Source organism: Homo sapiens, chromosome 22 (genome assembly GCF_000001405.40).
Source record: "Homo sapiens chromosome 22, GRCh38.p14 Primary Assembly".
NCBI classification, from domain to species: Eukaryota; Metazoa; Chordata; class Mammalia; order Primates; family Hominidae; genus Homo; species Homo sapiens.
Genome location: NC_000022.11, coordinates 37,089,257 through 37,103,447, shown reverse-complemented (window position 1 = coordinate 37,103,447; position 14,191 = coordinate 37,089,257). Strand labels below are relative to the sequence as shown.

The window sequence follows — 14,191 nt, the reverse complement described above, 5'->3', positions numbered from 1 at the left end:
TTTCCAACTTTGGTCTGTTTCCCTGGCAGGATGCCCGTGGCCGAGGCCCCCCAGGTGGCTGGCGGGCAGGGGGACGGAGGTGATGGCGAGGAAGCGGAGCCGGAGGGGATGTTCAAGGCCTGTGAGGACTCCAAGAGAAAAGCCCGGGGCTACCTCCGCCTGGTGCCCCTGTTTGTGCTGCTGGCCCTGCTCGTGCTGGCTTCGGCGGGGGTGCTACTCTGGTATTTCCTAGGTAACGTTGTGGGACCGCCTGGGAGAGGCACCTGGGGAGGACTTGGGGTGACTGTAGCAGGCACAGCAGGACAGGACTGGGTTCCAGGCTCAGCCGTGCTTAGCATATTGCTGTGTGACCTTGGGCAAGTCACTTCTGTTCTCTGGGTCTCCCTCCCTGTCCTTCCAGCTGGAGATGCTGTCAGACCCTGGCTCCAGGTCCTATGGCTCGGGTCTGCTTCCTGCTTGGGCAAAGTGCCCCAAAGCTCCCCACCAGGTGGGGAAAGTGGGCCCTCCTAGCACCCAGTTCTTGTGAGCCAGCCAGCCCACAGAGCATAAACATCGCCTTCCCTTGCCTGCAGTCCTCCTGGGTTGCCCCTGAGGCTTGGAGCCAACCCAGCCCTAAAGAAGGAGGCCCAGAGGCACCAATGGTACCTGGTACCAATTAGTGCCTCTGCTCACTTGAGCCTAGCCTAGGTTCTCCTCTAGGCTGGGGACCACAGCTCTATCCCCTCTGGGTCTCCAGGGTCCAGCATGAATGGGGGACGGAGCAGGCAGCTGGAGAGCAGCCAGCCTTGGGGCCCTCTGCCATGTCCTTAATTATGGCTGGCCCCTCCCTGATGTCACAGCCCTCAGTCAGTCCCCTGGTGCCCGGGGAGCAATTGGCCTGTGCTCTGGGCCCATTCATCCAGGCCTCCGTTCATTCATTCATGGAATAAATGCTCTTGAGCATCTATTATCTTTCTCTAAGATTGATGGAGTCTCTCCTCTTCCTTCTGCCTTTGACAGTGGGAAGTAATGGAGAAACCAAATCGGACTGTGCCTCTACACTGTACACTGTAGAAGGCCCATTCATTTGTTCATTTACTCAGTGCCAAGCACCTCCTGTGTGCCAGGTTCTGGGGATAGCCCCTGTCCTTGTGATTTAGCCAAGGCATCAGACCTGACATTTACGCTAAAGCATAGCATGTGATGGGACAGAGGAAGCTGAGGGCTGGGAAGCCACAGGAGGGACAACCCAGATGCCTGCGTGATCAGAAGCATCCCATTAAACATCCTGCAAAGGATAGCTAGTGCTCTTACTGGCTGAATCTCCTGGTGGAATTCCAGGCCTGTTGAAAGCAACCTGGGGACCAACTTTGTAGCAGTGGAGAGAAATCCATGTAGGCCTAGATCCAAGGGGTCAGGGTTGGGAGTGTCTGGAACCAGCATCTGGGAGTGACACTATTGGGAACCCCAGGTCTGACACGGGCCTGCTTGCAATGACTTATAGTGATTCTACCCAGAGTTGAGCAACGCAGGCAGTAGACGCCATGTGCATTTCACCACCAGCAGGAAGCCAGTGCCCCAGATAGCACAGGGCTGTGGGGGCCTCCTCAGGTAGCGGGCTAATTAGTCTACAGGGTAAACCACGGGGCACTGGGCTGGAGGGCCAGGAACTCACCTGCCAATTATTTCTCTTTGCAGAGGAGTTTAATTCCCCCTGATTATGCTCCTGGGGTAAATCACCCCCCACCCCAGGAGAGGTGCTCCATGGGGCTGAGGACCCAAGGGGTGAGTGCTCCCAAGCCTCTGCTGGGGGAAGCCAACTCCCCCACAGAGGGATTAAGGGTTGAAGGAGGCACTTTGGGAGCTGTTTGAAAGACTCCTCCCGCCTTGACCAGGCTGTGCTCCTGGGACTGGGCGCTGGGCAAGGAAGTGGATCAGAGACACGCCCTGCCCTGTCTGGAAGAGGAGGTGCACAAGTGACCAGTGACACTGGAGCAGGACAGGCCCCAAGCGAGGAGGACAGCCTGGCCCGAGGAGAGGGTGTGGCTGGCTTCCTAAGGATGGTAGCAGGACCCTTAATACCACCAACCATATTTCCTGGGTCCTTTCCCTTTCCTGCTCTCCCAGGCAAGAGTTTTATGTGTTCTCAAGCCCCCAGCACCCGCCTGCCCCTGTCTCCTGCTTCAGTGAGAAAACAAAACAGCTTAGAAGAGAAGCCCCATATATGTTGGCCCACCTGCCCTCCCAGCTGCATCACGTGCACTCCTCCTGGGACCCCGATCCCGCCCCCTCTGCCCACACAATGGCCCAGCACCAGCAAGGATGCCCTCTCTCCCCCAGTGTCCCTTGGGGTGCCTCCCCCATTTCTCTGCTCCTTGAAAGAGCTGTCAGTCCACACACCCAGTCTCTCTGTGCCCTTTCCAACCTGGCTCCCTCTGCCCCCCAACTCCAATGGCCATTGTCAAGCTCGCCAACATCCCAGGTTGCTAAATCCAATGTCCACTTCTCAGTCATCATTGCACTTGACCCGGGGGCTCACCCCCACCTCCAGAAGCCCTTTCCTCCCTAGACTTTGGGCCGCCACCGGGTCCTTTCCGCTCAGCAGGTTGCTTTTTCTGTGTCCCTGCTGATGGGTGGGGCCTCTCCTTTCTCTCTCCACCCGCTTCTTTCGTGATCTCATCTGCTACCCTTAGCTTCAAGTGCCCTTTATACCCTGATAACACCCACATTTGCATTTCTAGCCTGGGCCTCTCCCTTGAGCTTGTCTCTAGAGCTGCCCCTGCTCTTCCTCTTAATGTCTAAGGAGCATCTCGGACCCTATGCTTTCAGACCATGAGGTCTCTGCATAATTTCCCCCAGACCTGTACCTCCAACATCCCAGTCCAAGACCACTTCTTTCTGGCACCTTCCCCTTACTCCTTTCTTTCTTTTCCACCCAGCCCCACTTTGCCAGCAAACCTGGTCATCTCTAACTCCAAAACACATCAAAAGCAGCTGACGCCAATCACTTCCCACCCTCTCCTCTGCCACAGCTGGGGCCAGGCTCTGTCCCCCTGGACATCTCTCCCCTGGAGCCCTGCAGGCGTGTCCTCGATGCTCTCCCTGCCTCTGCCCTGCCTCCTTAGAGCCTTTCTCAACAGCAGAGGGACCATTTGATAAAGCAAACGAAATCCTCTAACTTCGCTGCTTAAAACCTCGCTTGGGGCCAGGCGCGTGGCTCACGCCCGTAATCCCAGCACTTTGGGAGGCCGAGGCAGATGGATCACCTGAGGTCAGGAGTTCGAGACCAGCCTGACCAATATGCAGAAACCCTGTCTCTACTAAAAATACAAAATTAACCGGGCGTGGTGGTGCATGCCTGTAATCCCAGCTACTTGCGAGGCTGAGGCAGGAGAATCGCTTGAACCCGGGAGGCAGAGGTTGTGGTGAGCGGAGATTGAGCCATTGCACTCCAAGCTAGGCAACAAGAGCGAAACTCTGTCTCAAAAACAAAACAAAACAAAAACAAAAAGAAAACAAAAAAACCACCTCCCATTCCTCCCATCTTACCCAGGGTGAAAGCCCGAGTCCTCCCAGGCCTGGAAAGCCCTACCCAGCCTCTCCCCTTCCCCATCTCATACCCTCCTGCTGTCCTGTTGCTCACTCTTTGCTGCTCCTGAAACACACCAGGCCTTTGCACTTGCCCCTGCCTGGGACATTCTTTCCACAGATGTACATCACCTTCTTCCCTGACCTCCATATCGCAGCCCGTCCCATGCCCTGATTCCCACCGCACTGACCACCTCTAACCTGTTATACACGATGTGTGGTTTACCGTCTGATTCCTTGCTAGTCTACAAGCTATTAAGGGCAGTTTTTTCTTGATAGTTCTGTCCGTTGTTTTGCTCATATAGTCCCAAGTACTTTGGCTCAGTTCCTACACATAGCAGGCTCTCAAGAGGTATTTACTGAGTAAATGGATAGGGGTGTAAACCAGGGCTGTGAGTCTACCCTCTTCACTTCAGCCAAAATAGCCTTTGCAAAACAGAAGTCTGATGACATCATTCCTGATTTTAAACTTTTCATGGTTACCCTTGTTCATCGGGTAAAGACCCAATGGGCCCTGCCCTGCGGAGGCCCCAGCTCCTTGCCGCCCCTCCCCATCTCTGACTGCTCCAGCCAAACAGGCTTTCAGCCCGGGTCCTCACCATGGTCCCCGTGCTACCGGCCCCGTGCCCCATGCTGCTCCCTCTGCTGGAAGGTACTTCCCTCCCTCTTCTCTTACCAATTTACAGTTTCCCCATCCCTACATCTCAGCTGGAGGGTCACTCCACTCTGGCCCAGGCTGAGTGTCCTCGTCACATCCCCTCAACAGCACCATGTGGCACTGCTCCCTGATGGCACTGCCCACAGACAGATGCCACATGCTGTGTGGTTGCCAGAGCCACGCCTTTCTTACCCACCACTGTCAGCTTCACAAGGGGAGGCACATCTGTCTTGGTTAACTGGCGTACCCCATGTAGTAGGTGGTTAGCACACACTGTGGGATCCCTGGGTGACCTCACGAGTGGAAGGATGCCTAGTGGTGCTGACCCATGACCTTGGCCTCCTGGGCCTATGTGGATTTCCTGGCCTTCATGTCATTGGTGTCCTGGACTGGTCACTGTGTCAGCCTCTCCCTGGGAACCTGTAGGACACCATCCATCTGGGAGCCTTTCACCTCCCTGGTACCTTGCAGCCAGTTTGTCATCCAATAAACTTTAGATGACCATGATGACAATGGGAGTGACAAAGATGATGATGATGACATTGATGGTGCCATGGAGACCCAAGACACTGAGGCTGAGCTGAGGGTGTGGGTGGCAGGAGAAGGCATGGAAGAGACAGGAGACTTTCCCACCTGCTTCCTCCACTAACCCTGCTGGTTCCTTCCTGGGCAGGGTACAAGGCGGAGGTGATGGTCAGCCAGGTGTACTCAGGCAGTCTGCGTGTACTCAATCGCCACTTCTCCCAGGATCTTACCCGCCGGGAATCTAGTGCCTTCCGCAGTGAAACCGCCAAAGCCCAGAAGATGGTAGGAAAGGATCTGGGGGATGAGAGGGAGGGAATATGGGGGTGAAAAGAGAGGGGTGGGGTCTGATCACATGGAGCCAGTTGGTCAACCCATCTGGAGCATTCACAGGGACCACAGCCCTGCTCCAGGCACCATGGAAGCAGATGAGGTTGAGGGTCATGGGAAAGTTAGTGGATGTTTGGGTCAATAGCACTCGGATTAGATCCTGATCATGCCTCTTACCAGGGGTGGAGCATGACCTTGGGAAAGGTCCCACAGTGCAGCTGACACTATTGAGGGCCCGCTCCTGCCCCTCCGTTACAGGACGGTGGCCCGCTCCTCCCCCTCCGTTACAGGACGGTGGCCCGCTCCTCCCCCTCCGTTACAGGACGGTGGCCGCTCCTGCCCCTCCGTTACAGGACGGTGGCCGCTCCTGCCCCTCCGTTACAGGACGGTGGCCCGCTCCTCCCCCTCCGTTACAGGACGGTGGCCCTCTCCTCCCCCTCCGTTACAGGACGGTGGCCCTCTCCTCCCCCTCCGTAACAGGACGGTGGCCCTCTCCTCCCCCTCCGTTACAGGACGGTGGCCCGCTCTTCCCCCTCCGTTACAGGACGGTGGCCGCTCCTGCCCCTCCGTTACAGGACGGTGGCCCACTCCTGCCCCTCCGTTACAGGACAGTGGCCGCTCCTGCCCCTCCGTTACAGGACGGTGGCCCGCTCCTGCCCCTCTGTTACAAGACGGTGGCCCGCTCCTGCCCCTCCGTTACAGGACGGTGGCCACTCCTGCCCCTCTGTTACAGGATGGTGGCTCACTGCACGGAGGCTGGTCTACTGCCTGCCACTCTCAGGCTGCAGGACCACTGCCCAGCAAGGCAGGCCAGAAGTGCCGGGGAGTTATTCCCAGGAGCAACCCTGAACCATGAGCGCTGGAGTGGGTGGATCAATACCGCAGCTTCTTTGGCCCTGGCAGGGGGAATAGTTCACAGAATGTTCCAGGCTGTCTCCCAGAGATGCCCTATTCGGCTGAGCTCAGATGCTCTCAGCTCTACACTGCGCATTCATGGCCCTGTGTTGGTTGCCCACTTTCCAGTCTCTCCCTCCCAACTACTGTTTCCCAGAATCACCTCCAAATAAACCACTTGCCCCACCTTGTCAATGGAGGGTCTGCTTCTGAGGGACCCAGCCTGAGGCTGCCCGTTTCCTCCTCCATGAGGTAGGGGTGATAACAACAGGACCCGGCTGCAGATTTGTTGTGGGTTGCAGTGAAGTTGAGATAACACGAACACTATTCCCACGCTGCGCAAATGCTTAAGAGCCTGTAATCCTGCCAGCAGCGCTGTAGTTGGAGATGCGCAAAAACTACCCATCAGAGCTGCTGGCTTGTCCCAGGCCATGGGAGGAGGTGCAGAGGGGACCCAGGAGCCGAGTGGGGTTTCTCAGAGTTGAGGAGTGACTTTTGGCAAGGGGCAGAGGGGTCATCAGCAGTGCAGGTGGAGGTGAGAGTCGGGTGTAGTGGAAACAGAAAGAAGGGGATGGGGTGTGAGATTCATGCATGCCCCGGCCCGGCCACTCAGCACTGTGTGACCGTGATCAAGCCTGTCCACCTTGGAGAATCATGCATGGAGCGGGGCTGCCAGTAGGAGCAAAGGGCACCTCCAGGTAGGAAGTGGGCCTGTCTGCCCTGCAGAGGGTCCCAGGGGCTGTTGTCTTCCCTTCTCACAGCTCAAGGAGCTCATCACCAGCACCCGCCTGGGAACTTACTACAACTCCAGCTCCGTCTATTCCTTTGGGTGAGTTGTCCTTGCCCCTGACCAGCTCCTGCAAGAAGCTGAGATTCAAAGAATGGGAGGGGCCTCTGTAGGCTTCTGATGCAATGCCTTCATGTTTCAAATGGGGAAACTAAGGCATAGAGAGGGAACTTGGCTTCCTGCATGTCACCCTCCCTTCACTGGGCTCATCTGTAGAATGGAAACATGGGTGTGATAGGTTTGCACCAGACAATGACTGTGATGGCTGATCAAGGGCCTGACACCATCAGGCGAGGCGATGTTGGAGGGGCATGGGGTTAAAAGCATTGGCTCCAGGGCCCGACTGCCCCGTCCACATCTGGTTCTGCTACTTGCGGCATAGTTTATGAGACACAAGTTCACCTCTCATGCCTCAGTTTTCTCATTCGTAAAATAAGGATTATGAGAGCGCCTCCTTCAGAGGTCGCTAGGAGGCTTCTGCGTGAAGACGGACAGCAATGGCTGAGGTGCGGAAAGTGCTCGATGTGCATGAGCAGGGGTGGAGCTGGGGCCAGACCTCAGAATCCTTCCCTGGCCTCTCTCACTTCTGCCTGCCTTAGGGAGGGACCCCTCACCTGCTTCTTCTGGTTCATTCTCCAAATCCCCGAGCACCGCCGGCTGATGCTGAGCCCCGAGGTGGTGCAGGCACTGCTGGTGGAGGAGCTGCTGTCCACAGTCAACAGCTCGGCTGCCGTCCCCTACAGGGCCGAGTACGAAGTGGACCCCGAGGGCCTAGTGATCCTGGGTCAGTACTGCGAGTGGAAACGTGGGGTTGGCCTCATGAGGTTGGGGGAAACAAGCTGTGGTGTGGCCCGGGGAGGCTGCCTGCCAGGCCTGGGGTGCTGTCAGGGTGGGCCCCCCAGGAGAGCCCCCCAGGTGAGGTAGCAGTGCCATTGCATTCAAGGAGCCAGGAAAGAAGGGTGGGATGGGGGCATTTAGGGTAAATCTCAGACAAGGCTGGCTCCAAGGGTCTCCTCTAATTTTATTTTCATTGTATTTTCTTTTCTTTTTTTTTTTTTTTGTTCTTGTTTATTTGTTTGTTCATTTCCTTTTATCAGAAGCCAGTGTGAAAGACATAGCTGCATTGAATTCCACGCTGGGTACGCTATTTTTTTTTCCCCTCCCCATTTTCCTTTTGAGTTGGCATTTGTCTTGACTTTGTTGTGTATCAGGGGGACACATGGCTTCTGTTGTGTGTGCAGGGAGCCCTGGCCAAGAGTCACCCAGGGGATGCCATGGTGGACTCAGCGATGTGTCCCAAGCAAGTCTTGGAGCCTGTAGGGGGAGAGGAGGTGGCGACGTGCATGCGTGTATTTGTGTGTGTCTTGTAGACGGGTGTGCATGCGTTCCTGTGTGGGTGTGAGGATGAGTCAGGTTTAGTGGTCCACGAACGTGACTCTCCTCTATCATTCACTTCAACCTGCCCACAAGCTAGTTTCCACTGATGGTAGAAAATCATCTTGCCAATTCACGGTTTGTCAGTCACGTTGGTTTTAAAACTTGGTCTTTTGGAGGTAGCGGTGCCATTGCATTCAAGAACGCTCCTTCCCTCTTTTCCTTTCCTTCCCAGTCAGGCTCATCAGCCCTCCCTCCCTACCTGGTGCCGTATTGCTAGAGTCACCTTGCATTTCTCCAAGCGGACCCACAATCTTTCAGCTGACCAGCACAGTCACCACGCTGCACAAGGCAGGAGGTGCTGTCCAAGTTGTAGTTTGTGTGAGTTGTGCAGTGCACCAACTGGCTGCTGGACTCTATGGCCCCTAAATTCTCAGATTCCTCCCACACTATCTAGTGTTGTCACCCAGAGCCAAGGTGGGGGTGAGCGTCTCAACCCCTTCTCAGGGAGGGAGGCAGAGTTTAAATCCTTGTTATACCTTTCCTTACCTTCCCGTCTTCCCATCCTGCTGGTCAAATGCTTGCTTCTTTGTTGGATGGAGGTGATGAGGTCAAAGTACAGTTTTCAAAGAGGTGAAATCATGATTCTCATACAAAGATAGAGTGACCATGTGTCAAATATTTATTTGGCTGATTAATGGGGGAACGAGTAGAATGGTAAAGAATGCAAGAAACTGATCTATTTGTCTATCTATCTATCTATCTATCTATCATCTCTGTTGATATCTGTCTGCTTGTCTATCTAGTTATCTAACTAGCTAGCTGTCTATTATCTATCTGTCTGTCTCTCTGTCTCTGTCTGTCTAGCTAGCTAGCTGTCTGTTTATATCTATCTATCTATCTATCTATCTATCTATCTATCTATCTATCTATCATCAATCATTAATGGAAAAAGAGAATTGCTAGAATAAGATTACCAAGTTAGATACAAACCTGGTTAAGGTCCTACCAGGCAAGAAAACTCAAACCTTTGGAGTTGTCTTTTCTAGTGAATTAAAATCATTGACAGCTTATTACAGTCTTCTGAAAGTTAACATCTACCTCTACAGAGTCTGAGGTTGATAATCTACAACCAATAGTAAGTCAGAGATATTACTCCTGAGAGCCTCAGGGGGACTTAATCAGATGATGCTTGGAGACAGAGACTGGCTCATTGCAGCCTGGACACCGAATCTGGTCAATTGCTGCCTGATTTTGTATAGCCCATGAGCCAAGAATGACATATATATATATATAACAGAGTCTCACTCTGTCATCCAGGCTGGAGTGCAGTGCCGCGATCTTGGCTCATTGCAACCTCCACCTCCCAGGTTCAAGCAATTCTCCTGCTTCAGCCTCCTGAGTAGCTGGGACTACAGGTGCCTGCCACCATGCCTGGCTAATTTGTATATTTTTAGAAGAGATGAGGTTTTGCCGTGTTGGCCAGGCTGGTCTCGAGCTCCTGACCTCAGGTGATCCACCTGCCTCCACCTCCCAAAGTGCTGGGATTACAGGTGTGAGCCACCACGCCTGGCTCCATAGGCCATTTTTCAATTATTAAAAAATATAAAAGTCAGCCAGGCATGGTGGCTCATGCCTGTAACCCAGCACTTTGGGAGGCAGAGGCAGGCAGATCACCTGAGGTCAGGAGTTTGAGACCAGCCTGGCCAAGAAGGCGAAACCCCGTCTCTTCTAAAAATATAAAAATTAGCCGGGCATGGTGGTGCGCACCTGTAGTCCTAACCAGTCAGGAGGCTGAGGCAGGAGAATCACTTGAACCCGGAAGATGGAGCTTGCAGTGAGCTGAGATTGTGAGGTTGTGCCACTGTACTCCAGCCTGGGCGACAGAGTGAGACTCCATCTCAAAAAAAAAAAAAAAAAAAAAAAAAAAAGAAAGAAAGAAAGGAAAGGAAAAGGTCCTATGGAAAGTTATTTTTTCTCCTGCAATAGAAGTGCTATGTAATAGCCTCATGTTGCCTCGTGCCTCTGTGTCCCCATGTTCCTGGCAGTTGTTCTGTAATTATCTGTGCTCAGTGGGTGTTCGTTTCATGAATGAATGATTGAACAAATGAATGAAAGCATGAATGAGGAGACTGGTTCAGTGCATGTCCAGAGCACAGAGTCTCAGGGGGCAGAGATAACAACTCAAATCCTTGAAGTCGACTTTATGAGCACTTCCTTCATGCCAGGCCCCATTCCTGCGCTGAGGACACCAGGATGACCGTGTCCTCACCCCTGCCCTCGGAGGAGCTTTAAGCCCCATGAGGGAGACAGACACATAAACAGATTCTCATAACACCAGGTGCCAGTGTGAGAATAGAGGCCCCAGAGGCAGTGGAGAGAGGGAATTGTTCGTTCCAAAGCAGAAGAGGGGGCAAATCAAGAGCCTCACACAGAGTCCCAGATCTACAGGAGGGAGGGGTTGCTCCTGACTGGGGGATCCTGGAAGACTTCATGGAGGGGGCATCAGATTTGGGCATGGGCCGGGCGTGGTGGCACAAGCCTGTAATCCCAGCACTTTGGGAGGCCAAGTTGAGCGGATCACCTGAGGTCAGGAGTTCGAGGCCAGCCTGGCCAACATGGCAAAACCCCATCTCTACTGAAAATACAAAATTAGCTGGTCATGGTGGCCCATGCCTGTAATCCCAGCTACTTGGGAGGCTGAGGCAGGAGAATTGCTTGAACCCAGGAGGTGGAGGTTGCAGTGAGCCAAGATTGCACCATTGCACTCCAGCCTGGGCAGCAAGAGCAAATTCCATTAAAAAAAAAATTAGCTGGACATGGTGGTGTGCACCTGTAGTCCTAGCTACTCGGGGGTGGGGGTGGGGGGCTAAGGTGGGAGGATCACCCGAGCTCAGGAGGTCGAGGCTGCAATGAGCTGTTGTGATCGCATCACTGCGCTCCAGCCTGAGTGACAGGCTGTCTCAACAATAAAATAAAATAATTTTCAAAAGAAAAAGAAATTCAGGCATGGGGGTAGGCAGGAATTTGTCAGGGCGAGAAGAAGAAAGGGTTCCCTGAGCAGAGGGAATGGCAGGGGCAAAGGCTGGGGGAGGGGAACACCCAAGGCGTGTTCAGTTAATTCCTCCCAGCCCCGAGAGGTGCCAGGCTCCCTGAAGGTGTTTCTGATTAACAAGAGGTTAGCACACACCTCTCCACGGAATTCGTCTCAAAAAAAAAAAAAAGGGTAATTATTAAAGTGGCAAGAGCAAAGAATCTGCTTGGAGCAAGATTTAAAGAACACAAAACCCTAGGAAGAGCCAGCCATCTTTCCCCAGCTGCTGGTGGAGGCCCTGTCCCTTCCCTAGGCAGACATTGTTGTTCTCTCTCTGGGGAGGTCAGCTCCCCACTGCAGTCAGCATGGCCAGGGGTCAGGGAGAAGGGGCTGAGCCACAGGTGGCAGCATCAGAGCAAAGTGTATTCACCTCCATTCCCTTCCTGGTCCTCAGCACTGCCCAGAGGAGGTCATAGGACAGGGATTATTATTACATCCATTTGACAGAACTTGGAATGGCTAAGCCACTGGCCCAGACTCAGTTAACTACCCAGAGGTAGTGAACATCTACCTCTACAGAGTCTGAGGTTGATAATCTGCAACCAATAGTAAGTCAGAGTTATTACTCCTGAGAGCCTCAGGGGGACTTAATCAGACAATGATTGGGGACAGAGACTGGCTCACTGCAGCCTGGACACCGAATCTGGTCCACTGCTGCCTGATTTTGTATGGCCCATGAGCCAAGAATGACATCATCACACAGCTGATGAGTGTTGGTGCTAGGTGGGGAGGGTAGTGCCCCTCCCTCCTTCTCTCCAGTTCCCTCCCCATATACCCCCTCCCCTGGGGGCCCAGCAGATGGCACTAGCCTGGGGGGCCTGCCCTCAGGCTGACCAAGCTGACAGGGGGACTTTTGCTTGCCTGTGGCCTTCCAAAGAAGACGATTTAAAGCAGAGAAAACAGACTGAAAACTCAGGTTTTATAATTTCATGTCACCAGGCTGCCTCCCACATCCCAGGTTCATTCCTAAATCCCCACTGGCTCCTGGAAGAACACCAGGCTTCTGGCGAGGTTTAAATGAGATACTGGATGCTCCACGGGAGAGAACATGTTCACTGGCAGACCCTGGTGCCTAGATCGAACACACAGTCGGTGCACAGTCACTGTTTTGAATGAATGAATGAATGAATGAATGATGCAGGTGGTACTGCTTTGTAAGTTCTAGCAGTGCATCAGAGCTTACGGATTAGATGGAAGAGCAGAGACTCACTGGTGTGTGGGGTAGGGGGGTGGGGTATGATGGTGAAACAGTTGTGAAGTGAGGCAGCCGTGAGATGGGCTAGGTCTGAGCCTCAGGCGGGGCCAGCTGCAGGATGAAAAGTCACAGGCCTTTCTCCCCAGCCCTACCTGCTCCGTCTCCCTCACACCCACCTGAGGAACCAGGCACTGCCTTTATTGAGCCCCTACTGTGCAAGGTGCTGTGCTGGGCATTCAAACGTGTATCATCCTACAGCCTCTGCTGGCGGCCCTGCAAGGGTGGTGTTATCGTCCCATTCTATAGATGAGGAAAGCAAGGCCCAGGAAAGATTAGGTGGTGGCTGGGCAAACCCAGATGTGTCTGGCCCAGGTCTGTGCAATGGACACAATCATTGAAAGTATCTCATACAGCTGTTGTGGGCATTGAGCGAGACAGTGAGGGAAGGCATTCAGTTCAGTTTCTGGCCTGTAGCAAATGCTTGATAAGCACCTGTTTTATTCTGATGGCTTCACCATCATTAGCTCAAAGCTCATGTCCTCCCCCCAGGGCAGCCTCCCAGACTCCTCCTTAGGGCACTCCCTTCTCTCTACCGGAAGTGAAGCCCTCATCCCTTCTTCTCCTCATTGCCTGTGGCCTCGCTGGTCTCCACAGCAGCCAGAGGAGTGTGTGGTCCAAGCCAGCCCATGTCCAGCCTTGCCCAACCTTCTGTGGCTCCCTATGGCTGCAGGAGAAAGCAGCGCCCATCCTCGGAATGGCCTGGGCCAGGCCTCCCTGCCTTCAGCTTGTCCTCTAGATACACGTGCCCTGTGTGTACTTTTCTCAAAGCTGCCCGGCTCGCCCCAGCCTCTTTGCTCACGCAGGGACCCCCAGGATGCCCCCAGCCCACAGGCCGGGTTTGAAGCCGTCACCTCCTGAGCTATTCTTGCCTGTTCTGTGTCTGTCTGTCCCCGCTGTCATCCATGTCCCCAGGCAGCGACTGGATTTTTACCTGGGCACTGAGAAGGCGTGAAGCTCAGTGTGTGTCCATTCCATGAGTGAATGACTGAACCAATGAACAAATGCATGAATGAGGATACTGACAGGGAAAGAGAAGGATGGGGTAGAGCATGTCTGGCTATCCCCACCCGGCTCCCCTGCCCAGCCCATCCTGCCTGGTGGAGGACCTTGAGGGACCTGGCTCCCCAGGGTCCCCTCCTTCTGGCTCACAGGAATCAGGGGCTGTGCCCCTCTCCCCGCTCCAGGTTGTTACCGCTACAGCTACGTGGGCCAGGGCCAGGTCCTCCGGCTGAAGGGGCCTGACCACCTGGCCTCCAGCTGCCTGTGGCACCTGCAGGGCCCCAAGGACCTCATGCTCAAACTCCGGCTGGAGTGGACGCTGGCAGAGTGCCGGGACCGACTGGCCATGTATGACGTGGCCGGGCCCCTGGAGAAGAGGCTCATCACCTCGTGAGTCCCTGGGAAGGAGGGCAGGAGGGAGGGCTGGAAAAGGGAGTGGTTGATGGGGGAGTTGAAAGTCACACACAGCATTCTTAGACAAGGGAGGGTAGGACCTTGGGCCTGGGTATCTGGGAGACAGGACGGCTAGCTTAGAGGGGATAGGGGAGAGGAGGCTGGAGATGGTTGTGTACTGGGGGCGCTTCCCCTCCGCGAGCCTCAGTTTCCCCATCTGTAACAAAGCCGTTGTTGTAGATGACTCCTGAAGTCAGCTCTGGGAGGCACCGTGGCTTGTTGGGATGTTTCAGAGTCTGGCTGCAGCCTGGACTTTCA

The 14,191-nt window shown here is 54.3% G+C and overlaps 1 protein-coding gene across 9 annotated transcripts in view, besides 1 other annotated feature; it reads left to right on the top strand.

Annotated features, from left to right (window-relative positions):
* The window catches only part of TMPRSS6 (transmembrane serine protease 6), a 45,101-nt gene that overhangs the window by 7,089 nt on the left and 23,821 nt on the right, over window positions 1-14,191 (top strand). For 6 of the 9 annotated variants that reach the window (XM_024452167.2, NM_001374504.1, NM_001289000.2 and 3 more), the window contains exons 2-7: window positions 30-232; window positions 4,899-5,032; window positions 6,733-6,800; window positions 7,358-7,542; window positions 7,856-7,897; window positions 13,666-13,870. In XM_024452167.2, coding sequence (XP_024307935.1) covers window positions 31-232; window positions 4,899-5,032; window positions 6,733-6,800; window positions 7,358-7,542; window positions 7,856-7,897; window positions 13,666-13,870 — 836 coding nt within the window. In that variant the 5' untranslated portion in view covers window position 30. The remainder of the gene's footprint in view (window positions 1-29; window positions 233-4,898; window positions 5,033-6,732; window positions 6,801-7,357; window positions 7,543-7,855; window positions 7,898-13,665; window positions 13,871-14,191) is intronic. The other 3 variants (XM_047441170.1, XM_011529989.3, XM_047441171.1) reach the window with 1 other exon arrangement.
* Window positions 4,972-5,477: an enhancer, noted in NCBI's record as "H3K27ac-H3K4me1 hESC enhancer chr22:37494011-37494516 (GRCh37/hg19 assembly coordinates)". NCBI's record gives its function as "activates a minimal SCP1, AML or CMV promoter by ChIP-STARR-seq in naive H9 embryonic stem cells {active_cell/tissue: H9 hESC(naive)}" and the evidence as "EXISTENCE:reporter gene assay evidence [ECO:0000049][PMID:30033119]".